The sequence below is a fragment of the Homo sapiens genome, chromosome 7, assembly GCF_000001405.40.
Source record: "Homo sapiens chromosome 7, GRCh38.p14 Primary Assembly".
NCBI classification, from domain to species: domain Eukaryota; kingdom Metazoa; phylum Chordata; class Mammalia; order Primates; family Hominidae; genus Homo; species Homo sapiens.
In genome coordinates this window covers 138,651,892-138,676,035 of record NC_000007.14, presented here as the reverse complement: position 1 = coordinate 138,676,035, position 24,144 = coordinate 138,651,892, and the positions used below count along the sequence as shown (strand labels likewise).

At 44.9% G+C, this 24,144-nt stretch overlaps 1 protein-coding gene across 10 annotated transcripts in view, besides 1 other annotated feature; it reads left to right on the top strand.

The window, feature by feature from the left end:
* Positions 1-24,144, top strand: part of SVOPL (SVOP like) — a 107,078-nt gene that overhangs the window by 25,327 nt on the left and 57,607 nt on the right. For 2 of the 10 annotated variants that reach the window (XM_047419887.1, XM_024446654.2), the window contains exons 1-4: positions 11,211-11,250; positions 12,891-12,962; positions 16,048-16,172; positions 19,525-19,588. In XM_047419887.1, coding sequence (XP_047275843.1) covers positions 12,891-12,962; positions 16,048-16,172; positions 19,525-19,588 — 261 coding nt within the window. In that variant the 5' untranslated portion in view covers positions 11,211-11,250. Of the gene's footprint in view, positions 1-3,918; positions 4,018-10,542; positions 10,580-11,210; positions 11,251-11,811; positions 11,827-12,890; positions 12,963-16,047; positions 16,173-19,524; positions 19,589-24,144 lie in introns of those variants that run through there. The other 8 variants (XM_047419888.1, XM_017011747.2, NM_001139456.2 and 5 more) reach the window with 7 other exon arrangements.
* Positions 7,456-8,037: an enhancer, noted in NCBI's record as "OCT4-NANOG hESC enhancer chr7:138352744-138353325 (GRCh37/hg19 assembly coordinates)". NCBI's record gives its function as "activates a minimal SCP1, AML or CMV promoter by ChIP-STARR-seq in naive H9 embryonic stem cells {active_cell/tissue: H9 hESC(naive)}" and the evidence as "EXISTENCE:reporter gene assay evidence [ECO:0000049][PMID:30033119]".

The following is a 24,144-nucleotide window of genomic DNA, read 5'->3' as shown; positions in this document are numbered from 1 at the left end:
AGTGAAACCCTATTTCTACTAAAAATACAAAAAACTATGTGTGGTGGCATGTGTCTGTAATCCCAGCTACTTGGGAGGCTGAGGCAGGAGAATAACTTGAACCTGGGAGGCAGAGGTTGCAGTGGGCTTAGATTGCGTCACTGCACTCCAGCCTGGGCAACAGAGCAAGACTTTGGGGGTGGAAGGCGGGGAACAAAACAAAGCTTCATACCCAGATGCATAATGATAATCAGACAGAATGGAAAATCAAAGATATGGGGTCCACTCAACAATGGTGTTGGGCCGGAGGGTAAAAATACATAGGAGGGAGGTAAGTGAGAAAACTCTAGAGGGATCTGACCCTCCCCAAACAGCTAAAAAGTATAAGAAAGGGTTGTGTGGGCGGGGCATGGTGGCTCACACCTGTAATCCCAGCACTTTGGGAGGCCAAGGCGGGTAGATCACCTGTGGTCAGGAGTTGGAGACCAATCTTATCAACATGGCAAACCCTCATCTCTACTAAAAATAGAAAAAAATTACCGGGGTATGGTGGCACATGCCTGCAATCCCAGCTACTCGGAAGGCAGGGTCAGGAGAATTGCTTGAACCCGGGAGATGGAGGTTGCAGCGATCCGAGATCGCGCCACTGTACTCTAGCCTGGGCAACACAGCAAGACTCAGTCTCAGTTAAAAAAATAAAATAAAAAATAAAGGGTTGTGTGATCTGGAGGTAGCCATGTGAGTTTGATGCATCTTTCAAAAGTGTTGCATTCTCAGGCAACAGTCTATTTTTTTTTCTTTTTTTCTTTTTTCTTTTTTTTTGAGATGAGATCTAGCTATGTTGCCTAGGCTGGTCTCAAACTCCTCAGCTCAAGCAATCCTCCCACCTCGGCCTCCCAAAGTGCTGGGATTATAGGCTTAGCCACCAAGCCTGGCCTCAGGCAACAGTCTAGCATAAAAAAGAGAAAGGCAAGATGTATCCTAGTCCTATTTTGATGATAACCAATGGTACAATTGAGAAGATTTCCTTATCTGTACAGTGAGGTCTCATAGGCTCCAAATTTGTTAATTTCCACATTTCAAGGGACAAGTAGGTGTGACTAGGTGAAGTTTTACTATTAACTCTCCTCCACCTTCACCCAGAACATCTCAAGGAAGTGAAATGATCTCTGGTCTTCAAGTATCTTTTTTTTTTTTTTTTGAGATGGAGTCTCACTCCGTTGCCCAGGCTGGAGTGCAGTGGCGTGATCTCGGCTCACTGCAAGCTGTGCCTCCTGGGTTCACGCCATTCTCCTGCTTCAGCCTCCTAAGTAGCTGGGACTACAGGCGCCTGCCACCACGCCCAGCTAATTTTTTGTATTTTTAGTAGAGACAGGGTTTCACCGTGTTAGCCAGGATGGTCTCGATCTCCTGACCTCATGATCTGCCCGCCTCGGCCTCCCAAAGTGCTGGGATTACAGGTGTGAGCCACCGCACCCAGCCTCAAGTGTCTTACAGTCGTGGGAATTCTCCCCAGCTCACCAGCTAGGAAGGGCTCTCTGCCAGGCCACCCCCTCCTGTCTCACAAAGGAAGACAGAACTGCTTATTTGGGTGCAGGGACCAAATCTTTCGACTGGTCTTACGATGGGATGCTTTATGAGCAGGATTCTTCCATCAGCATTGATATGTTGACAGTGATGGGCCGTGGCCCCTCCACCTGTTCAGGCCCTTATTCAGAGGCCATAGAAGCAGCAGTTGGGTTTCCGGGCCTCGTGTGACGGTGTATATAACAGCATCCACAGCAGCTGAGCAGCCTCAGCCTGTGACCAGGACTCCTAAGTCCTGGTCTTCTGTGTATGTGTGTGTGTGTGTGTGTATGTGTTTTCTGGGAGACGAAGTCTTGTTCTGTTGCTCAGGCTGGAGTGCAGTGGTGTGATCTCAGCTCACTGCAACCTCTACCTCCCAGGTTCAAGCAATTCTCCTGCCTTAGCCTCCTGAGTAGCTGGGATTATAGGCACATGCCACCACGCCCAGCTAATTTATTTTGTATTTTTAGTAGAGACAGGGTTTTGCCATGTTGGCCAAGCTGGTCTCAAACTCCTGACCTCAAGTGATCTGCCCGCCTCAGCCTCCCAAAGTGCTGGGATTACAGGCGTAAGCCACCTCGCCTGGTCAGTCCTGGTTGTCTTTAAGACCTTCCCTGAGGTCTAGAGTGAAGCTCCTCTGTGTACCCCACCCTGGCTCCCTGCCTGGTCCCTCTCCCCTAAGGCTACTATAGCAGAATGGGCAGAGTTTTATTCCTTATTGGTTTATTTCCTTCTAGAACTCTTTAGAGGAGTGGCATCTTGGTGAATATGGATCTAGCTCTTCTGTATTACTGAAGGAAGATGAGTTTACTAAATCAAACATTATTCTGAGATTATTATTATTTGTAGACAGGGTCTTGCTCTGTCACCCAGGCTGGAGTGCAGTGGTGTGATCTCAGCTCACTGCAACCTCTGCCTCCTGGGTGCAAGTGATTCTCGTGCCTCACCCTCCTGAGTAGGCGTGCAGTACCGTGTCCCACTAATTTCTGTATTTTTAGCAGCGATGGGGTTTTGCCATGTTGGCCAGGCTGGTCTCGAACTCCTGGCCTCAAGTGATCCGCCTACCTCAGCCTTCCAAAGTGCTCAGATTACAGACATTAGTCACCTGGTCAGCCTCTTCTGAGATAATTATGCTCTCTTACTTCTGATACCTGTTGAACTAAAACTTGCCAGCTGGCCATCTGAACTCTGGACACCACTATAATGCTCTCTTGTGGAGAGACAAGTCACTATAATATGTGTACTTCAAAGTCCCACACGCTGGCTGACATCATTCCAGCTTTTTCATCCCAGACCTCCAAGTCATACAAGTATAAACATTATTATAATAACCCATATAGATATTCTATCAATGTTATCGACAGAACATGTGCCAAACAAATTCATTTTCTCCTTTAATTCCCTTTTTTTCCTCCTGATAACCTTGTCCCTGTCAATGATGTCAGTGTTCTTCCCTTCCACCAGACACAAAATCTCAGTCATCTTTGACTCATCCTTCATGATCCTTTACCTAACTTTCATCATCTATTTATAATTATTCCTTCAATTCTTTTCTAGCATCTCCTTCTTTTTTTTTTTTTTTTTTTGAGAGACAAACTTATCCCTATAACGGATTGCAAAATATGGATAAAGGATCATACTCAAACTGTATTGAAAGAAATATTTAGTAGCATTAAGTTTGTTAAATACACATTTTCTTAGGCTGAGTTCAGTGGCTCATGCCTGTAATCTCAGCACTCTGGGAGGTCAAGGTGGGAGGTTCACTTAAGCCCAGGAGTTTCCAGCCTGGGCAACATAGTGAGATCCCATTGCTTCTTTTTTTTTTTTTTTTTTTAAACACAAAAAAAAACACTTTCCTGCTGATGAACTCATATTACTTTGTACTCATTGCTTTATTTTCCAGCTTTCATGAATCTTACTATCCCAGCTTGAGATCAGAAACTGTCTCAAAAATCCATTTATAAGGCGTGTGCTCTGCAACCTTCATAATCATGAGTACAAAACAACAAAGCTAGTTGATGTGGATGCTGCCGGTTAGCTAGTTTCACCCCTTAGCTATGGGAGTGGCCTTCACACAGCTCCCTCCTAGTGCTACCATGCAACTGCATTGGTCAGCAAAATCATAAGTGAATATGTGTCACAAATTTTTGGGAACTCTCTCAAGTTGTTCAAACCATGAAAGTCACATCCACAAAGGCTGAAGTTCTATAGTTCCTTATCCAACTAGCAGTGCAGTGTGGGTATACAATAGATCCTCCCTGAATGGGGAAGGACAAAGGGGACAGGACTAGGTAGGATGATGGGCAGGCAGATATGAGAAGAAGTGATGACAAGCTGGCACTTAGACATGGCATGGTGTCCCTCTTCTTTAAGGTGGTTGAGGCCATGGAGATCATGTTGATAGCTGTTGTGTCTCCTGTCATCCGCTGTGAATGGCAACTGGAGAATTGGCAGGTGGCATTAGTAACCACGGTAAGTACCTGCTCCCTGTGCCGTGAACACAGCAACTGAGGGCGTAGGCTCCCTTTCCTCCATCCTGCAGGGCTGAGAGCCAAAGGGTGTCTCACCACTGCCACTGTTGGCTTCCAAAACTCAAGGGTTTGCAGCATTTGATGTCTTCGTCACCTTTTTCTTTTCCTAGCATGCCTAATGTTGAACTGCTTACTATCCACATGAGAGATGCAATTCAGAAAGTGATCCCTAAGTCATGGGTTAGTCATAGGTTAAATCGGGTCACTAAAGAAGCTATTTACATGGATCATAGTGACTTCACCAATCACCCTCGCTGAATTATACTGTTACTCCTTCAACTTTTCTCAAAGACCATTAAGAATAGCCTTATGGGCCTGGTGCAGTGGCTCATGCCTGTAATCCCAGCACTTTGGGAGGCTGAGGCAGGCAGATCACCTGAGGTCAGGAGGTTGAGACCAGCCTGACCAACATGGTGAAACCCCGTCTCTACTAAAAATACAAAAATTAGCAAGATGTGGTGGTGGGTGCCTATAATCCCAGCTACTTGGGAGGCTGAGACAGGAGAATTGCTTGCATCTGGGAGGAGGAGGTTGCAGTGAGCCAAGACCACGCCATTGCGCTCCAGCCTGGGTGACAAGAGTGAAACTCCATCTCAAAAAAGAAAAAATAGCCTTATGAGTTGCACATCAAGTTTTGCTACAAAGTGGAATTGAAGATATCCATTCTTTCAAAAAGGATGTGTGTATGCATGTGTGCTGAGAAGACTACAAGCAGTATCACGTTGTTTAAATAGTGAGAAAGGGGTAGTGATGGGAGGTGAAGCTGCAGAGGTGGGCAGGGCCAGAAGCACCCCACCTGCTGAGCATGAATTGCATTCTATAGCCACTGCTCCCCAACATTGGGCCAAACACATATAAACCCTCCATGCAAAAAATATGTGATACAAATACATATTACAGTTTTTCAGTTTGCCATTTCTTATAACCAAAATCAACATAATAGCATGATTGACTTCATAGTCATTATATATTTCTGATTAAATGGGTATGAAAGTTCACCTTCTATCATAGAGCTTTGCAAAATATTTATTTTTAATCTTAAAAGAGGCTCCTGATATATTAGAATGCTGTGGAGGGTGGAGAGCCATTGGAAGGCTTCAGGGAAGGATGTGGTCAGTTTTCTAAGAACTCCAAGGAGATAAGGCTGCAGGGTAGAAGGTCAATGAGGGTGTAACTGCCCTAGGGTTCATCTTTCCTAGTGCCCCAATAGAGCCAACTTATCAAGTGGAGGAATTGCAATAGAGAACATGTTTAATAGACATAGAGTGGCTAAACCAGAGGCCAGAATTTTATTGTATCAGCCTCCCTGAAAATTTGGAGGCAAGCATTTTTTAAAGATAGTTTGGTTGACAGGGGGCTAGAGAATGGATATTTCTGATTGGTTGGAGATGCAATCATAGTGGTGTAGAAAATGGACCAAGTATGCTGAGTCTGCTTATGGGTCACAGGACCAGTTGAGTCAGGGGTCATGGGTCTGGGTGGAGTCATCCCGTTGTCAAAAATGCAAAAGTCTGAAAAGACTTCTCAAAAAGCCAATCTTAGGTTCTACAATAGTGATGTTATTTACAGGAGTAATTGGGGAAGTCGCAAATCGTGTGACCTACAGAACAAAGGCTGGAAAGTGGCTGGTAATCCTTTAAGCCTATATCTTAACAGAATTCAGGCCCCTCTCATAATCCTACCTGGTGGCCTTTTATTACTTTATAAAGGTGGTTTAGTTTTGGGAAGAGCTGTTATCTAAACTGTAAACTAAATTTCTTCCAAAGTTAGCTTGACCCATGCCCAGGAATGACCAAGGGCAGTTTGGAAGTTAAAGCCAAAATGGATTTGGTTAGGGCAGATCTCTTTCACTGTCATAATTTTTTCTATTATAATTTTTGCAAAGATGGTTTCAAAGGGGCTGTGGTATAAGTGGTAGAGTGAGGGTGTGTGTTCTGGGACATATTTAGGAAGTAACATCAGCCAAGGAGGTCAAAGAACCAGCAGGTGGGGAGAGAAAGGTTGATTTACTTGGGTATTGAAGCTGGTTTTAATGAAGACAGGACTTTGTAAGTGCCAAGGGAAAACTTCCCTTCACCTTCCAAAGGTTTACTAAAAAAATCAACTGACAGAAGGTAGATTCATGGGGAAAAAAGGCATACAAAATTTTATTTTGATGGGCATAGCAGGAAGGAATCACAAGAGTGATTACCAATAACCCAGCTTGGGACAGAAACGTATATAGCCTTTTACACAGTGGAGGATGCCAGTGGGCAAAGATTCTTTAGATGGGCAATAAGTCATAAGTGAGAATGAATGAACCAGGGAGGAGTGAGGCACGCATTACAGGAAGGTGAGGGGTGGAGTTGCACAGGAACAAAGGTTGTTCTGTTATCCAGGTGATCTCTGGGAGCTGCCCTCAGAGGACTAGGTGAAAAGTCTGGAGCAATGTGATACCCCCAGCCTCTTCTCTTTTCTGGTGGCTGATCTTTGTAATTTGACATGATCCCTAGGGAGCAGGTTTAAGATAATTGCGTTCCCTTTTTTTTTGTTGTCATTGTTGTTGTTTTGTTGAAACAGAGTCTCCCTCTTTTGCCCGGGCTGGAGTGTGGTGGTGCGATCATAGCTCACCGCAGCTTTGAACTCCTGGGCTCAAATAATCCTCTTGCCTTAGCTTCCTGAGTAGCTAGGATGTGGGTCACCACACCTGGCTAATTTGAAGAGGCTAGTCTCTACTCCTGGCCTCAAGCAATCCTCCTGCCTAGGCCTCTCAAAGTGTTGGGATCACAAACTGAGTTACCACACCTGGCCCAGTTGCATTCCTTTTGGAACAAAGCTTTCTTGGTCAGATAAGGAAACTGCAGAGAGCCCTTCCCTGTGCTTGAGGGCGAAGGAGCAAGACAAGGTTAGAGGGACCTTGATTCTGATGCAGCTGCCTCTATCCTCTCCACATGTCAAAAGGCCAGTCTTTGTTGTATCGCTTTCTGGGCCCCAACGACTTAATAGAAGAACTGTGAGCCCAGGTGCTCAAAATCCTCACTAAAGAGAGTGTCTGGGAGGTAGGTAGACTGATGGGTGGAGGATGGCAGTCAGGTGGCAGAGGCCTTGAGGTCAAATTCTGTAAGACAGTGAGAGCTAGTCTGAAACTGGTGGTGGAGAATTCCAGAAGAATTCCTCCTGCTCCCCAGACTGACAAGGCTGTGCTCAAAGGAGTAGCCCCGGAAGGTGGCAGGGGAAGGGGATGTCCCTGTCACTCACTGTGTTAACCAAATCTTACCTGTGAATTTTAATCTTTGGGGGTGGCACCAGGGAAAATTCCCTCACTTGAGGAACTGGTTGGAGTTCTTCTCTCAGATAATGCATGGTATTGCCCAGTTGTGTTTCTTTCTGTGTCTTGGAGGCTGGGAAGTTTGGATTCCAGTTGTATGCCCAATCACAGCAGCACATCTAAAAATCTGCCCTGATTTTTGCTAACCCAAATGAGATATTGAGGCAAAAATCTCAGTCATCTGAGGTTTATTGAGCTAGAGCTTGAGGGTGTGACTGGGAAGAATGTAACAGCCCAGCGGGTTCACCTTGCCCGCTGACTAGACAGAGCTGATTTCTCAAGACAGGGGAATTGCAATAGAGAAGGAGTAATTCCCACAGAGCTGGCTGTGTGGGCAACTGGAGTTTTATTGTTATTCAAATCAGTCTCCCTGAGCATTTGGGGAGCAGAGTTTTTAAGGACAACTTGGTGGGTGGGGGAAGGTCAGTGAGTCGAGAGTGCTGATTAGGTGGGTTAGAGATGAAATAGTAGGGAATTGACGCTTTCCTCTTGCGCTGAGTGAGTTCCTGAGTGGGTGCCACAAGATCAGATGAACCAGTTTATTGGTCTGGGTGGTACCAGCTGATCCATCAAGAGCACCATCTGCAAAATATCTCAAGCACTGATCTCAGGAACAGTTTAGGGAGGGTCAGAATCTTGTAACCTCCAGCTGCGTGACTCCTAAACCACAATTTCTAATCTTGTGGCTAATTTGTTAGTCCTACAAAGGCAGTCTAGTCCTAGCCAAGAAGGAGGTTGGTTTTGGGAAAGGGCGGTTATCATCTTTGTTTTAAACTATAAAGTAAGTTACTCCCAAAGCTAGTTCAGCCTACACCCAGGAATGACCAAGGACAGTTTGGAGGTTAGAAGCAAGATGGAGTTGGTTAGGTCAGATCTCTTTCACTGACTCAGTTACAATTTTGCAGTGTCAGTTTCAAGAACACCAGCTATGGAAACATCTGTGGCTTGAAGCAGAGGTTTCCGGGTGACTCAGGATTTATACTCTCTTTTAAAGGAAAGAAAGCATGTAGGAAGAGGTGGGTAGCCAGCCAATGAGGCAAATGGTTACATGTCTGTGAGATTTTAATTAGTGCCCAGTAAATCTACATTTTATATAAAATGAGGTGAACATTGGAAGAAAAAAGGGAGAGTAAAGGAAGCATCAATTATGCAGATGTCTCAGGGCAGGTGGAAGAATGGTCTCATCTTCTGGGAAGAATGAGTCTCATCACTTGGGAAGATGAGCTTGCAATCAACATTATCAGTGTGAAATCTAACAGATGTTAGTTGTAGAAGCTAGACTTAGATAGAAAACCTAAGTTACAATGGACATGTCCTTGCTTTATAGGAGGATATGCATCTTGAAGGGTTTCAAGACCAGCAAAGAATTTTCCATGGGGGGTCTGGCTGATGGATAATACTTTGACATAAGATTGTAAAGCAACAGCTATTCAAGGATGGCTAGTGTTGCATTAGTCTGTCTTCAGGCTTAACCTCCTCTTTGGTGTAATGAGTTTAGGAGTCCCGAGATGTTTTATTTTTCCATTATATTATCTTAGTTCCATCTCCCTCATTAAAACTCCTCTTATTAACTTTGGAGCCCTGGTTCCTTTTTTGCGTTTTTAAAGCTCTCTAGTACTTGTTGTCCCAAAGACCACCAGGATGGCTAAATAATAGAAAGGACAGTTTTATTGGCAATAGTGATTTGCAAGCCTGAAAGAGACAGTCTCCAGTGTGCATTGAAGTTGCTTTCTCTTGGAAGAGGAGAAGGACAGGTTGGGTTTTATGTTTCACAAGGCTGGCATCATACATATTTGGCAGGTTTGGGGGCAAAGCTATACATGTTTGTGAGGGGATCCTACATGCAGACTAGGTAAGCTCGTTTGTAACATACATCACATGTTCACTTTGGGGCAGGGTTTTAGCATTAAAATGAGGTGGAATTTGGCTCTTTATGTCAAAGGTGAACTACAGAAAACAAACAGTTTGTGCACTCTCTGTATAAGCTGCTGAAACTGACCTGAGGTCTGCAGTAGCTTATCCAAAAAGAATGTCTGTAAGGCTGGTCCTCTGTCCAATCAGCACTGTAGTGGTCTGGGTTGTAAATCAGCTTGATATCTCAGACAGGAATTCAGAAATCTGCCATGTCTGCCAGACCCTGAACCCTTGACCTGGAGATAACGTTTGTTTCTTTAACCTTGGGGCCCGTCTTAGTTGCTAAAGGGGTGTCTATTTTGGTGTCTCAGATCATATGCTTTTAGAAAAACTTTTAGAAATAAAACAAAGTTTTTACTTAGACTTGTAATAAAGTGACTCGATTGCTTTCTATTTTCTTCTACATATAAAATACTTTAGAAAGTGTCAACCTAAAATAACAGAGAAGCTCTCCAGAGAAATGAGTTTATTTGGAAAGGAATGATAGGTGATTGCAATCTGGGAATTCCTGTGCCATGGCGAACCGTGGCCGGGCCATAGGTGTATCCAGGAAGGCAAGGAAAGTCGAGAGTTTTTTAAAGACAAAATGAGGAAGGCTACATAAGTTATTTTGAAATACTTTTCCTTGGCTACAAGGATCAGTAACAACGGTGGCATCAGTCCGAGGTAGAACAGGCTGGGTATTGTTCTTGCAGAAGCAGTTTCTTGTTTTTTGTTTTGTTTGTTTTTGAGACAGTGATGCACTCTGTTGCTCAGGCTGGCCTTGAGCTCCTGGGCTCAAGCGATCAGTGGTCTTTGTGCAAGGCTGTGGTTTTCAGAGTCCTTATTACAGTTTTTGTGTGCCTGAGAGCTCCTCCTCTGTTGCCTACAATCCCATTTTGGTAGGGTGTGGCCTAAGTGACTCCATTTTGGTTCTCATGGCTTTCAGAAAAGCGTTACTTGCCAATCCTTGTATCTTTAGGGTGACCCTATAACTTTATGTTTAATTCTAACTGATCTGTACCCCAGTTGGCTTGTGTATATGCACCTCTTAGATCCTTGAGAATGCTGGAGATCCAGGTGTGGCATTTGCACCTGCACTACAAAATTGTATTACGTGATACCGTTTTTTATAGTACATGACACACATGTAAATGTGATATTTACAGCTCATATTTCATTGGCTGCATTTGTGCTGTTTCCTAAGGTGCCTACAGAGGCTCCTTCCAGCAGGTACACAATCTCCCTCATTAGGCCATCACAGCTCAGAAGACTTCTCTCTAAGCAGCTGAACTCTCCCAAGGTGACTGTTTCCTGCTCTGGGCTCCTCCCATCCTCCTGTCTTGGCTTAGCCCATCTGACTCTGACCCTGTCCCTGAGCTTACTGGGAACAATTGTGCTAAACGGAAGGGCCAGGCTAATGAGCAACATTGTCACTGTCTCCCAGGCCCCCCAACCCTGTTTTCTAAGCGGTTGTTAATTGAGAAAACTAAAGAATTGTGGGGCTATGATGGCCCTTGTGTTTTGTGAGAGTCATGCTGAAGAAACGCTTTGTGTGTTGCTTAAATCAGAAACAGTGGAGTCATGTCATGTATTAAAGACAAGCACCTGCAGAAAAGAGCTGACCCTAGGGAGGTGGCGAGTGGGGGCGGGGGAGGGTCGAGCGTGGGGGTGGGGGTAGGAAGGGTCGAGCATGGGGGTGGTTGGGGGAAGGGTCGGGGGTGGAGGGGAAGGGTCGAGGGCAGGGGTCGGGGGGAAGTGTCGGGGGTCAGGGGAAAGGGCGGGGATGGGGGAAGTGTCGGGGGAAGGGTCGAGGGTGGGCGTGGGGGTAAGGAAGGGTCGAGCGCGGGGCTGGTTGGGGGAAGGGTCAGGGTTATGGGGGAAAGGTCGAGGGCGGGAGTTGGGGAGAAGGGTCGAGGGCGGGGGTGGGGGGAAGGGTCGAGCGCCGGGGTGGCGGAGGAGGAAGAGCTGGGGGTGAGCAGCAGCAGCGTGCGGGGGAGGGGGGAAGGGCGCAAGAGAGGATCAGGGGTCAGCGGCACACCCATGGAGGATCAGGGGTGCGCCCGATGGAGGGTCAGGGACGCTGGAGAGTTAGGCGCGCGCCCGATGGAGGATCGGGGGTGCTGGAGATTAGGCGCGCATCTGGTGGAGGGTCAGGGGCGTGCCCGATGGAGGATTAAAGGCGCTGGAGGGTTAGGCGCGCGCCTGATGGAGGATTAGGGGTGCTCGAGGGTTAGGCGCGCGCGCCCGATAAAGGGTCAGGGGCTTGCCCAGTGGAGGATTAGGGGCGCTGGAGGGTTAGGCGCCCGCCTGCTGGAGGATACGGGGTGCCAGAGGGTTAGGCACGCGCCCAATGGGTCAGAGGCGTGCCCGATGGAGGATTAGGGGCGTTGGAGGGTTAGGCGCACGCCCGATGGAGGGCCAGGGGTGTGTCCGATGGAGGATTAGGGGTGCTGGAGGGTTAGGCGCGTGCCCGATGGGAGCTCAAGGACGCTGGAGGGTTAGGCGCGCGCTAGGTGGGGCGCGCGAGGGAGGCAGGACGTCTTCCAGGTAGAAGGTGGGGGAGGGGGAGGGCAGGGTAGGGTGCACAAGAAGGGGGCACCACTGAGGATCGTTGGGGGCGAGTGAGGGAGGCAGAGGGAGAGCTGGAGCCCCAGCGAGCGGACAGGTTTCTGTCTCTGCAGTCTGTCAAACAGGGTTACGGAACGTTTCTGTCCTAGAAAGTGTAGCGTGCAGGACCCAGTCGTGGCTTTTGTCGTGCAAGAATATATATGATGAATTTTTCATGGTTCAGTGTGGGAGAAATGCATTTCAGTCTTCCCTCTAAAGAGTGAAGGAAGGAGAAAAAAAGCAGAACAGCGACAGCGAAAGGGAAACAGAGCTGTTTCTGGTTTGTTTTGTTTTCCCCTAGAAATGCGAGCTGACAGCATTCCTTTGATTGCCCTGGAGGCCGTCAGTCAGGGCTGCAGTGAAGCCTGAACTTCTTGAAGGCAGGAAAATAAGGAGCCCAGAGGCACAGACAGCAGCTGAGGTCTCAGGCCAAGTTATAATAAATAAAACCCTAGTGTCAAATCCCAGGTCCTTGAATTTTATCAGGGGAGGACAGGCCATTGTGAGAACGAGTAAGGAAAAGAAGTAGGTGTATCTTAGGACTTATGAATGTTCTGAAGAGTTTTTTAAATGAGTGATTGGATTTGGTGTTTAAAGTTATGTCTATTTGTAATAACATAAAGGGAGACTGCTTCTAGTGGCCCCAATTTGTGTACTGTATAAGGCAGCGCATGAACAGACAATTTTAAAAATTACAGTGGAAATTCACAAGTACACATCTGAATAGAGTGGAGCCGAAGCCGTCCTCTAGCAACAAGCGGGCGGCAGAGGACCCCGTTTCCACCTGGGGCAGGATCTGCCTTGTTAGGCTCCCACCAACAGGGAGCTGAAATCCTGAACATGAAGGGCCTCAGGGGCAAGCAAGACCAACGTGAAACCCTGTTCTTTAAATTAACTTCCATCCCTCCCGTATTTCCAGCCTACTTCTAGTGAAAATGGCTAACGGGGTAAAGTAACATGTAAAACCTGCTTAGAGAACCGTTTTATCTCGCTCCCACTTGCAGATGGTGTTTTTTGGCTACATGGTTTTCAGTATCCTCTTTGGCCTCCTGGCTGACAGATATGGCCGCTGGAAGGTAGGTGGGGCCTCACAGTAGCATTTGGAATTGTCTTTTGTGTATTCTTTTGGGGGCAACCTTATCACTGTTTCTCTTTAGTAGGCATCTCCCTCCCAATACCCAAGATAGAAAATGCAGACATTTCCCTCCCTGATGGAACATTCCAGGCTTATCTTCTGGACATTTTTCTCAGGGTACCTGTGCCTGCAGCTGTTCCTCTGCAGTCCAGGTGTGGAGTAAAAGGAGATGCGGGTATTATAGAGTTCTAAGAAATCTCTACCCAGAAGGATTAAAGGAAGGAAGGCCGCTAAGTGGCTCTATTTGAACTTTTAAAGGTTGGGACTTAGAAGCAGTCATGGGTTGGTTAGATGCCCCCACCACGTCCAGTTTACTGTGGTGGTGTTGAGAACAGAGGTCTGATATCAGTGGGGGCACACATCTGTTCTCCATTTATCCATATCTTCGCTTCTAATGAGTTAATAAGGGGAATGGAAAAGGCCCCTTAGCCCTTCAGAGCAGCCCTATTGGGAGGTTTTTTCCTCTGGTTTTCATTTAAATGACTAGTCCACTGCTGCAACAGCAAGCTCAGAAGAAGCTGTTCTTTCAGGACTATGTGTCATGAGTGAGTGTCCATAAAGTCTCTAACCCCCCAGAGCACCCAAGTAGGTTGGGAGGGAGCAAGTCTCCCTTAATTTTGGGGCAAGAAAACTCACCCTCAGGCACCTATCTGTTTGAAACTAGCAGGAACTGGCCACAAATGAAAAGAGAAGTCCAAATTACAATCAGTAGGAAACAGATGCAAGTTTTAAAGCCTGTGATGGAATTTTAGGACAAGAAAAAGTAAAATGACTAGTGCTGGATGGCCAAGACCATTAAGCCAAACCTGCTGCTATGAGGCAGAGGCAGAGAAAGCAGAAGTTCTCTGCAGAGCCATTTGCCTGAATGTCCCGTCCAGGGACAGAAATGGAAGCCCATGCTCTTAAATGAGAGAGTTTATAAAGAAGCCACCCAAACTGTAGACCTCAACCTAAAGGAAAGGAGGGCCAGATTCAGAAAGACTCACCCTTTTGCCCCCAGTGAAACCTCTGGAGTTAGGGGAACGCAGTGGGTTCATGCAGCAAGTTCAAGAGGAGCCTATTGGTAATTGTGGGGGTAAGGGGTGGTGTTGCTCTGAACCTTGCCAGCTATGCCAGAAATATTGACCTAAAGGAAGAAACAGAGACGAAATTAATATAAGTAGGGAGTTTATTTGGACCAAGATTGAGGATTGCAGCTCGGAAGTCATACAGTCCAGTTGCCCTGAATATATGCTCCGATTAGCAGCAGTTACAAGTGGGTTTTTTAAAGGAGGAGAGAAAAGAATTTGGGGGCACTTCCTAAGTTATTTACTAATAATTTACATTGGTTCGTTAAAATAAGGTATGCTATCAGCTGATTCTACATCTTTCTTGGTGTCACAAAATCTAAAAACATGGAGATAATGGATGAGCGTCACATTGTGCAACTTGCGGTAACCTTTTAGGTAATTTATCAGCTAGTCTGGAAACTACAGGGAAGGTAAGAAAAACAAAATGAAATACAATTACCCTGGGCATGGGTGCGGGAATGTGACCGGAGTCGCATGCTCCTGTGTCTCTGGACCTGATAAATTCTGCATACCTCACATTCCTCAGACTGTTCTGAGCCGCTTTTCTCTCTCAAGTTGATGGATGTACGGAGTTAAAACATATTAGAGTGTGGACATTTGCAGGTATAAACATAAGCAGCTACACATTTTGCTCATGTTGGTATAGCTTTGAAACTAGCTACGTGCTCAAAGTCACGTGCCTACTAAGATTAGACATCAAGACATAAATTATGTCTTCTGATTACAAACCCAGGTCTGTCTTTTCTATTTGCTTGATTTCTGGTGAAATCCTCTCTGAGCATAAACACAAATGGAGGAATCTCAAAGGAAAACATTAGTAGAATTGGCTGTATGTTTTAAAGTACATGAAATAAATAGCATAGATTCTTGTAAATTTGAAAACACGAGTATCTCAAAAAAGCACAAAAAGGCATTTTATAAAAGAAATACAAATTATCAAGAAACTTTGAAAAAACATTAAAGTACAGGAGTTATCAAAAACAAAATACATAGCAAGATATAATTTTTCCTTATCAAATATGTAAGGAAATTTTTCCTTAAAGAGTCCTGCACCGTTGAAATGGACATTTTCATGACTTGCAAGTATATAGACACCCTTACTATATATAACACCCTGTTGGTGTTAATATATCATTATTATTATATAATATTATTAAACCCTATTGGTATAATTTTTCTGACCATCAGCCTGGCAGTATGAAACATGAACCTTGAAAATATTCTGCTAACCTGAACATTTGTCTTCCAGAAATCTAGCTTGCTAAAGATATCAGAGAGGGCATAACGACTTATGTACAGATATCATCGCAGCTTATTTTAATAATGAGAAGATCTGAAACAACTTAAACTGCAACAGTAGAGCAAGGTCTTATGTATTATATTACATGTATGAAAGTACATCTTTCCACTGGAACATTTATAGCCAGCCATTAACACTTCGTTTTCTCTCATAAACAGAGAAGATAAAACAGTGTTAAGAGTTATCTTCTCTGGGTTGGACAATCAATGGTGATTTCAATTTCTTAATTTTCTTTTTTCTTCTGTATTGTTTACTATGAATTTATCCTTATAATTAAAGAAAAAGCAAATACCTTAAATGTTCTCCTTGTACTCCTCCCAACATACTGCCTCATTACGTCCCCAGCAGCCCTGTGAGTAGGGAGGACACGTTTTTGCCTTTTGATGTCCAAGTTCAGGGACCTGCCACCCATGAGGGTGGGCACAGCATGGTAGTTTTAAAGAATGGTCTGAACTTGGTAGGTCTGGGCTTCCAGACAGTAGAATGGCATGGATTGTATTGTTGGATGATTGTGAAAGACCAGTGGGCTTGCTACAGGTTAGCTCCTCAGAGAAGCAACTATCAGGATGGAAACCGAAAATCGCCTTCAGAAGTTAGGGCTTCTTCCCTCCCCGCATTGAGGCAGGTCCCATTCATGTGTTCTGCTGTTGCTTCAGATTCTGCTCATCTCGTTCCTGTGGGGAGCCTATTTCTCCTTGCTGACCTCGTTTGCTCCTTCGTACATCTGGTTTGTCTTCCTGCGGACGATGGTGGGCTGTGGTGTGTCCGGCCACTCGCAAGGGTAAATATGTTACCCAGGGGACCCTGAGACAGAAACGTGTACCCCTGCAGGCCCTGATGCACACACACTGCGCTTAATAGACCAAAAGCATTGTGAACCCAACATATCTGAGACAGGTTTCAGTCCATTTAGAAAGTTTATTTTTGCCAAAGTTAAGGATGTGGCTGTGACACAGCCTCAGGAGGCCCTGAGGACATGTGCCCAAGGTAGTTGGGGTATAGCTTGTTTTATATATTTTAGGGAGACATAACACATCAATTAATACATGTAAGATTTACATTGGTTCCATCTGGAAGGGCAGGACAACTCAAAGGGTGGGGGACTTCCAGACCACAGGTAGATGTTAACATATTAATTTTTTTTTTTTTTTTCGAGATAGAGTCTGGCTCTGTTGCTCAGGCTGGAGTGCAATGGCACAATCTCAGTTCACTGCAACCTCCGCCTCCTGGGTTCAAGCGATTCTTTTGCCTCAGCCTCCAAGTAGCTGGGATTACAGATGCCTGCCATCATGCCCGGCTAATTTTTTGTATTTTTAGTAGAGACGGGGTTTCGCCATGTTGGCCAGGCTAGTCTCGAACTCTTGACCTCAGGTAATCCACCCGCCTTGGCCTCCCTAAGTGCTAGGATTATAGGTGTGAGTCACTGTGCCTGGCTGATCTAAACATTTTCTGATTGGCATTGGTTGAAGGAGTTATCAGTAGAAAAGAATGTCCAGGTTAAGACATTCTGGTCTCCACAACCAAGGTTTTATCATGCAAATGAAGCCTCCAGGTAGCCAGCTTCAGAGAAAATAGATTGTAAATGTGTCTCACCAGACTTAAGGTCTGCGTTGATGCTAATGCTAGAGGGATATAATGAGGCATGTCCGACCCCACTTCCTGTCGTGGCCTGAACCAGTCTTTCAGGTTAAATTTTAGAGTGCCCTGGCTGAGGAGGGAATCCATTCAGATGGTGGTAGTTGGTAGATGAATGGGGTTGGGGTTGGGGCGGGGGGGCACTTCAAATTTTATTTCTAGTTTACAGCATTAATAAGTTACAGATTTATAGATGTCACTTGTGCAAACTCAGTTTAAGCTTTGTTTGGTTTTTAGTGATAGCTGCTTATTTAATGCTCCAGCAGGAGCAGTTTTCTCCTTAAAATGATGCTTGATGGTGAGGCTAGCAGAGTGCTAGATCAAGCAGGTGTTAGCTTTTTTGTTCATAAGGCTAGTCATTGTTTTTGAGATGTGCAATATTTTGTTACAGGAAATACTAACAAGTGTCAGGTAACAAAATGTCAACCCAGGCTGGGCGTGGTGGTGGCTCGCATCTGTAATCTGAGCACTTTGGGAAACTGAGGCAAATCCCTTCAGCCCAGGAGTTCAAGACCAGCCTGGACAGCATAGTGAGACCCTCGCTCTACAAAAACAAACAAACAAACAAAAATTTTTGAAGTCAATCCAAACATAATTTATTAATTTCTTGAATTTGTTGGAAGAGTTTAGTTTGACCATAAGCCCCTGTAACATTTAGGAGTAACTATTTTTGAGTACTATCACCCTATGATTTAAGACTCCTCTTGTAAAAGGGAGGGGGGGGAATATGTCAGATGGGATCGAACTAGAGTGACTCCATCTTTAATAGGGGCTGGGTAAAATGAAGCTGAGACTTGCTGGGCTGCATTCCCAGGAGGTTAGGCATTCCTAGTCACAGGAAGAGATAGGAGATCAGCAGGACTGGTTTCACAAGATACACATCACAAGACACCCCGCTGATAAAACAAGATGTGGTAAAGAAACTGGCCTAAACCCACTAAAACCAAGATGGCGACCAAAGCGAGCTCTGATTGTCTTCACTGCTTATTATACTCTAATTATAATGTATTAGCATGCCAAAAGACACTCCCAGTGGTGCCAGGACAGCTTACAAATGCCATGGCAATGTCCAGAAATTACCCTAAATGGCCTAAAATAGGGAGGAACCCTCAGTTGCAGGAACTCCCCTCCCCTTGAATTCACAGGACCCCTTGGGCTCTTCTCTTCTTGGTGCCTTGGAGGAGATTATTCTTAAAATATGTTAGGAGATGTCAAAGCACCTAATTACTGCCTTCATGTGTTAGAGAAAGAATTGTTCTTCCCTGGGGCATACAGTAAGCTTTGAGCTTTGGAGCCCTAAAGGAGTAGAAGCTAAGTAAAAATATAAAACATTCCCCAGGAAACAGCTCAATAAATATGTTAAAAATCCCCAAATTCTGGCTAACAACAGCAACAGAGAAGAGCAATTAGAAAACTGATGGAATATGTTTCTATTTATTCTTATATTCAGAAGAAAATATGTACTTAATTAGAAACTTGTGCCTTGACTGTCCTCATGAATTGAGAGAACTATTTACCTTCTCTCAGGTGTATTTTAATTTCCCAATGTGTTTTAGAAAAGGGAATCAGGCTGAGTGCAGTGGCTCACCCCTATAATCCCAGCCCTTTAGGAAACCAAGGTGCAACAGTTGCTTGAGGCCAGGATTGGCAATGCAGCAAGGTCCCATCTCTACAAAAAATTTAAAAATTAGCTGGGTGTGGTGGTGAGCACCTGTAATCCCAGCCACTTGGGAGGCTGAGGTGAGAAGATCTCTTGAGCCCAGGAGTTTGAGGCTGCAGCGAGCTGTGATCAAACCACTGTACTCCAACCTGGGAGACAGCCAGACCTTGTCTCTAAAATAAATAAATAAATAAATAAATAAATAAATAAATAAACAAATAAGAAAAGGGAATCAGGCTTGGGAAAACATTTTGCCAGTGCTTCCCTTGGCAAAACAGATAAGGCTTATATTTCTTTTTTTTTTTGTCTTTTCAACATGGAGTTTCGCTCTTGTTGCTGGAGTGCAATGGCACAATATTGGCTCACCACAACCTCCACCTCCTGGGCTCAGGTGATTCTCCTGCCTCAGGCTCTTGAGTAGCTGGGACTACAGGCATGCGCCACCACACCCAGCTAATTTTGTATTTTTAGTAGAAACGGGGTTTTTCCATGTTGTCCAGGCTGGTCTCGAACTCCTGACCTCAGGTGATCCACCCACCTTGGCCTCCCAAAGTGCAGAGATTACAGGTGTGAGCCACCACACCTGGCCAGGCTTATATTTCTTAAGTGTTAGAAGGTTTAAAGTATTGGGAGTAAAGATGTAAACCCAGGAGCAATTGTCAGTTTCGTTCTTACTGTTCTCTTATGTGGATATTAGCTGTCATAATTCTCTTCTGATATATAATCAACTTCTATGCTTTTGAATTCTTTATCCCTGTGACAAGAAAAACTGATTATTTTTTAAAAGATGATTTAGTTTTTTAAAACAAAATTATGCTTTTTCCTGCTTCCTGTTTAGGTTAATCATAAAGACTGAATTTTTGCCCACGAAATACCGAGGCTATATGTTACCCTTGTCTCAGGTAAGGCAACGTAGGAGTTCTACCTGCCTTTGGCATCCTATGGGATAAGATGTACATATAGGCATACCTTGGAAATACTGCTGGTTTGGTACCAGCTCGCTGCAATTAAGCGAGTATCAGAATAAAGTGAGTCACACAACCTTTTTGGTTTCTCAGTGCATGTAAATGTTATGTTTACACTATACTAAAGTCTAGTAAGTGTGCAGTAGCATCATGCCTAAAAAGCAATGTACACACCTTAATTTTAAAATACTTGATTGCTGATAAATTCTAATGATCTTCTGAGCCTTTAGAGAGTCATAATCTTTTTGCTGGTAGAAGTTCTTGCCTCAGTGTTAATGGCTGCTGGCTGATCAGGGTGGCGGTTGCTGAACATTGAGGTGGCTGTGGCAATTCCTTAAAAAAAGATAACAATGAAGTTTGCCACATCAATGGACTTCTTCTTTTCCTGAAAGATTTCTCTGTAGGATGCAATGCTGTTTGATAGCATTTGACCCACAGTAGAGAACCTCTTTCAAAATTGCAGTCAATTCTCCCAAACTGTGCCACTGCCTTATCAACTAAGTTTATGAATATTCTAAATTCTTTGTTGTAATTTCAACAATGTTCATAGCTTCTTCACCAGGAGTAGATTTCATCTCAAGAAATCACTTTTGTTGCTTATCCATAAGAATATAATCCTGTAATATATATTACAGTAATAAATGAATATATATCTATATTACACAAATATAGTATATATTACACTAATATTGCATGTACATATATGTAAATTATACGTAAATATATTAGTATAATATATATATAATAGTATATATACATTTATATGCACATATATTACTGTAGAGTGTGTGTGTAGGGGTGTGTGTGTGTGTGCGTGTGTGTAGCTTATATCACCTTGGAGGATAAAAGTGAGGCTCTGATATTTTTATTTTATTTTTTGAAATGGAGTTTCGCTCTTGTTGCCCAGGATGGAGTGGAATGGCGCCATCTTGGCTCACTACAACCTCTGCCTCCTGGGTTCAAGTGATTCTCCTGCCTCAACCTCCCAAGTAGCTGGAATTACAGACGTGCACCACCATGCCCAGCTAATTTTTTATATTTTTGGTAGAGATGGGGTTTCACCATGTTGGCCAGGCTGGTCTCAAACTCCTGACCTCAGGTGATCCACCCGCCTCGGCCTCCCAAAGTACTGGGATTACAGGCGTGAGGCACTGTGCCCAGCTGGCTCTGATTTTTCTTTTCTTTTCTTTTTTTTGAGACAGGGTCTTGCTCTGTCACCCAGGCTGGAGTTTAGTGGTGCGATCTCAGCTCACTGCAACCTCTGCCTCCCAGGCTCAAGTGATCCTCCCACCTCAGCCACCTGAGTAACTGGGATTACAGGTGCGCATCACTACGCCAGCTGATTGTTGTATTTTTTGTAGAGATGGGGTTTCTCCATGTTGCCTAGGCTGGTCTCGAACTCCTAAGCTCAAGCAATCTGCCCGCCTTGGCCTCCTAAAGTGCTGGGATTACAGGCATGAGCCACTGTACCCAGCAGGCTCTGAATTCTTTTTTTTTTTAAAAAAAAAAAAAAAAAGGAAGTGAAACAGGAAGTGAAAATGTGGTCTCACTATGTTGTGTGGAGATGTGGTCTCACTATGTTGACCATGCTTTTCTGAAACTCATGGCTATTCTCCTGCCTCAGCCTTCCAAAGTGTTGGGATGACAGGTGTGAGCCATCTTGCCTGGTGAGCAGTAATATTTTAAAAAACCTTTTTTTCCGAGAAGTAGGTCTCAACAGTAGTCTTAAAATAGTAAACCGCCTGTAGTCCCAGCTACTCGGGAGGCTGAGGCAGGAGAATCGCTTGAACCTGGGAGGAGAAGGTTGCACTGAGCCAAGATTGCACCACAGCATTCCAGTCTGGGTGACAGAGCGAGACTCCGTCTCAAAAAAAAAAAAAAAAACAAACTCAGTAAACCATGCTGTAAACAGACATGCTGTCATCCAGGTTTTGTTGTTCTATTTCTAGAGAACAAACAGAATAGATTAGCATCATTTAAACAATTTATTTTATTGATACATAGATTTACATATTTTGGGTATATATGTGATAATACATTCGTGTAATCAAATCAGGATAATTAGGATATACATCATCTTATCTCTTCTGTACACTAGGAACCTATGAATTATTCTCTTCTAGCTATTTTGAAATGTACAGTCAATTAATATTAACTATAGTCACTCTACTGATCTAGCAAACACCAGGACTTATTTCTTCTGAGTGTTTATTTGTGTGCAAGATTTACCATGATTCTTTTTTTTTTTTTTTTTGAGGGAGTCTTGCTTTATTGCCCAGGCTGGAGTGCAGTGGGACAATCTTGGCTCACTGCAACATCTGCCTCCTGGGTTCAAGAGATTCTCACGCCTCAGCCTCCCAAGTACCTGAGATTACAGGAGTGCACCACCACACCCAGCTAACTTTTGTATTTTTTCTTTTCTTTTCTTTTCTTTTCTTTTTTTTTTTTTTTTGAGACAGAGTCTTGCTCTGTCGTCCAGGCTGGAGTGTGGTGGCATGATCTCAGCTCACTGTAACCTCTGCCTCCCAGATTCAAGTGGTTCTCCTGCCTCAGCCTCCTGAGTAGCTGGGATTACAGGCACATGCCACTACGCCCAGCTAATTTTTGTATTTTTAGTGAGACATGGTTTCACCACGTTGGCCAGGTTGGTCTTGAACTCCTGACCTTGTGATCCACCCACCTCAGCCTCACAAAGTGCTGGGATTACAGGCTGAGCCGCCATGCCCGGCCCTGTATTTTTTCTTTAGTTGAGATGAGATTTTGCCATGTCGACCAGGCTGGTCTTGAACTCCTGGCCTCAAGTGATCTGGTTGCCTCAGCCTCCCAAAGTGCTGAAATTACAGGTAAGAGGCACTGTGCACGGCCCCAAGAGTTAGCATAATTCTTAAGGGCCCTAGGATATTCAGAATGGTCGATGATCATTGGCTTCAACTTGAAGTCACCAGGAGCATTAACCCCTAATAACAGATTCAGCCCGTCCTTTGAAGCTTTGAAATAGGCACTGATTTTTTCCTCTGTAGCCGTGAATGTCCTGCATGGCATCTTCTTCCAGTGCAAGGTGGTTTCATCTACACTGAAAATCTGTTGAGTGTAGTAGCCACCTGCACCAGTGATCTTAGCTAGATCTCCTGGATGACCTGCTGCAGCTTCTCCAGCAGCACTTGCTGTTTCACCTTGCACTTCTATGTTACGGAGACAGCGTCTTCCCTTAAACCTCACGAGCCAACCCCTGCTAGCTTCAGACTCTTCTTCAGCAGCTTCCCCACCTCTCTTAGCCTTCCCATAATTGAAGAGAGTTAGGGCCTTGCTGTGGATTAGGCTTTGGCTTAAGGGAATGTTGTGGCACTTTGATCTATCCAGACCACTCAGACTTTCTCCATATCAGCCGTAATGCTGTTTCACTTTCTTACCACTTTTGTTCACTGGGGTAGCACTTTTCATTTCCTTCAAGAACTTTTCTGCTGGGAGCGGTGGCTCACGCCTGTAATCCCAGCACTTTGGGAGGTAGAGGTGGGAGGATCACCTGAGGTCAGGGGTTCACGACCAGCCTGGCTAACATGGTGAAACCCTGTTTCTACTAAAAATACAAAAAATTAGTCGGGTGTGGTGGCGTGCACCTGTAATCCCAGCTACTTGGGAGACTGAGGCAGGAGCATCACTTGAACCTGGGAGGCGGAGGTTGCATGCAGTGAGCCAAGCTGAGATGGCACCATTGCATTCCAGCTTGGGCAACAAGAATGGAATGCCATCTCAAAAGAAAAAAAAAAAGAACTTTTCCTTTGCATTCACAACTTGCCTGTTTGGTACGACAGGCCTAGCTTTTGGCTTACCTCAGCTTTCGACATGCCTTCCTCATGAAGCTTTAATCATTTCTAGCTTTAGATTTAAATAAGAGATGTGGCTGGGTGTGGCAGCTTATGCCTGTGATCCCAGTGCTTTGGAGGCCAAGGTGGGAGGATTGCTTGAGGCCAGGAGTTTGAGACCAGCCTAGATAACACAGTGAGGCCCCAAGTCTACAAAAATCAAAAAATCGGGCCAGACACAGTGGCTCACACCTGGAATCCCAGCACTTTGGGAGGCTGAGGTAGGAGGATCACTTGAGGTTAGGAGTCTGAGACCAGTTTGGCCAACATGGTGAAACCCTGTCTCTGCTAAAAATACAAAAATTAGCTTGGTGTGGTGCCAGGCACCTGTAATCCCAGCTGCTCAGGAGGCTGAGGCAGGAGAATCGCTTGAACCTGGGGGGCAGAAGTTGCAGTGAGCCAAGATCCTGTCTCTGCACTCCAGCCTGGGTGACAGAGCGAGGGGGAAAAAAAAATTGGCTGGGTGTGGTGGCATGAACCTGTAATTCCATCTACTAGACAGGCTGAGATGGGAGGATCACTTGAGCCTGGGAAGTTGAGGTTGCAGTGAGCCGTGATTGCGCCACTGCATTCTAGCCTGGGCAACAGAGCGAGACCCTGTCTCGGTAAAGAAAGAAAGATGCGCAACTT